Consider the following 1,689-nt stretch of genomic DNA (forward strand, 5'->3'; position numbering starts at 1 on the left):
TTAGAAGCCACTTTCCCTGGGCCTGCCTGAAATTCTGCCATTTCAGTTTGAAGCACTGGGCAGTTGAGTCTGGGCAAAGGGGGCAAAAAGGAGAAGCCAGGGGACCTTAACAAACATGATGAAAGATACACTTGGCTGACTACAGCGATCTGCTTAAGAGTAGCTTTAGGGAAAAGACACGTTATCACACAGTACAGAGAAAAGAGCACTGGAGGCCAGGGGTGGTGGCTCATGCCTGTAATCCCAGCACTTTGGGAGGCCAAGGCAGGCGGAGCATGAGGTCAGGAGTTTGAGACCAGCCTGGCCAACATAGTGAAACCCCATGTCTACTAAAAATACAAAAATTAGCTGGGCATGGTGGCGTGTGCCTGTAATCTCAGTTACTCAGGAGGCTGAGGCAGGAGAATCGCTTGAACCTGGGAGGCGGAGGTTGTGGTGAGCCGAGATCATATCACTGCAGTCCAGCCTGGGCAACAACAGAGTGAGACTCTGTCTCAAAAAAGAAAAAAAAAAGAAAAAAGAAAAAGAAAAGAAAAGAGCACTGGGCCTGTAATCCCAGCACTTTGGGAGGCCAAGGTGGGCAGATCACCTGAGGTCAGGAGTTCGAGACCAGCTTGGCCAACATGGTGAAACCCAGTCTCTATTAAATATACAAAAATTAGCTGGACGCAGTGGTGCGCGCCTGTAGTCCCAGCTACTTGGGAGGCCGAGGCTGGAGAATCGCTTGAACCCAGGAGGCAGAGGTTGTAGTGAGCCGAGATTGCGCCACTGCACTCCAGCCTGGGTGGCACAGCAAGACTGTGTCTCAAAAAAAAAAAAAAAAAAAAAGAGCATTGGATTTGGGTTTGAATCCTGGCTCTGACACTTACTAGCTGGTGACTTTGAACTAGTTAGTTGACTTTTCTGAGCCCTCATTTCCTATTGCTAAAGTAAGGCTGATAATCCCTGCCTTATTGGGTAGGTATGAATGTGAAATGCTCTTTTAACTGAGACCTCGAGCACACATGTAATTTATTAGAAGCGGCCCAAGAGTCATCACTGACAATGCGTGTCTTGGGCTGGGATGTTCCATTAGCTGAGCAAATTCTCTTTGCTGTCATTGTTCATCTCAGCTCAAGACCTGGGCTTGTTCTTGGGCGGTGACTTCAGAAGCTGAGACGACATTCCCTGAAAGCTGTTGAGAGGCTGGAGGCTTGGATTTCACTGAAGCCTTAAAAGATACTTGCATTTTGAGGCCCGTTCCCCTTTGTCATGTTTTTCTCATTTATTCTTGGCTGATGAGAGAAGGGTTTTCATCTCTCTAGTTCCTCTGAAATTAACTTTTCTCTGAAAGTATTTCTTACCACCAAAGAAGATCTGAGCCTGCCCCCAGGCATGACATTCTGCAAAGGTGAGTAGGGCAGGCACTCTAGAAGGGTTGGAAGAGAAGCACGAAGAAGGAAAAAGTTGAAGTTGAAGGGAAGTCAGGAAAAGGAATAGATGTGATAGCGGCACAGAGAGAAAATGCAGGGAGTTAGAGGTGATAGGTAGAAGGCCTTGTAGCTGGTGGGTTGCTCCCTGAATTACTGTGAGAAGCAGCAGTCCTTATGAACAGGCTTTTGGCCACAACCGAGGACTCCTGTGCCCTCTGGGATGCCAAGCAGCCAGCTCCCCCATGGAGTTGTGCAGAAGGTGCCTCTGTGTAGATTC

At 48.1% G+C, this 1,689-nt stretch overlaps 1 annotated feature.

Annotated features, from left to right (window-relative positions):
• Positions 1,049-1,219: a silencer, noted in NCBI's record as "fragment chr14:70061623-70061793 (GRCh37/hg19 assembly coordinates)". NCBI's record gives its function as "represses an EF-1alpha promoter that drives an FKBP-Casp9 reporter gene in an ReSE screen in phorbol 12-myristate 13-acetate-treated (for megakaryocytic differentiation) K562 erythroleukemia cells {active_cell/tissue: K562(+PMA)}" and the evidence as "EXISTENCE:reporter gene assay evidence [ECO:0000049][PMID:32094911]".

Source organism: Homo sapiens, chromosome 14, assembly GCF_000001405.40.
Source record: "Homo sapiens chromosome 14, GRCh38.p14 Primary Assembly".
NCBI lineage: Eukaryota > Metazoa > Chordata > Mammalia > Primates > Hominidae > Homo > Homo sapiens.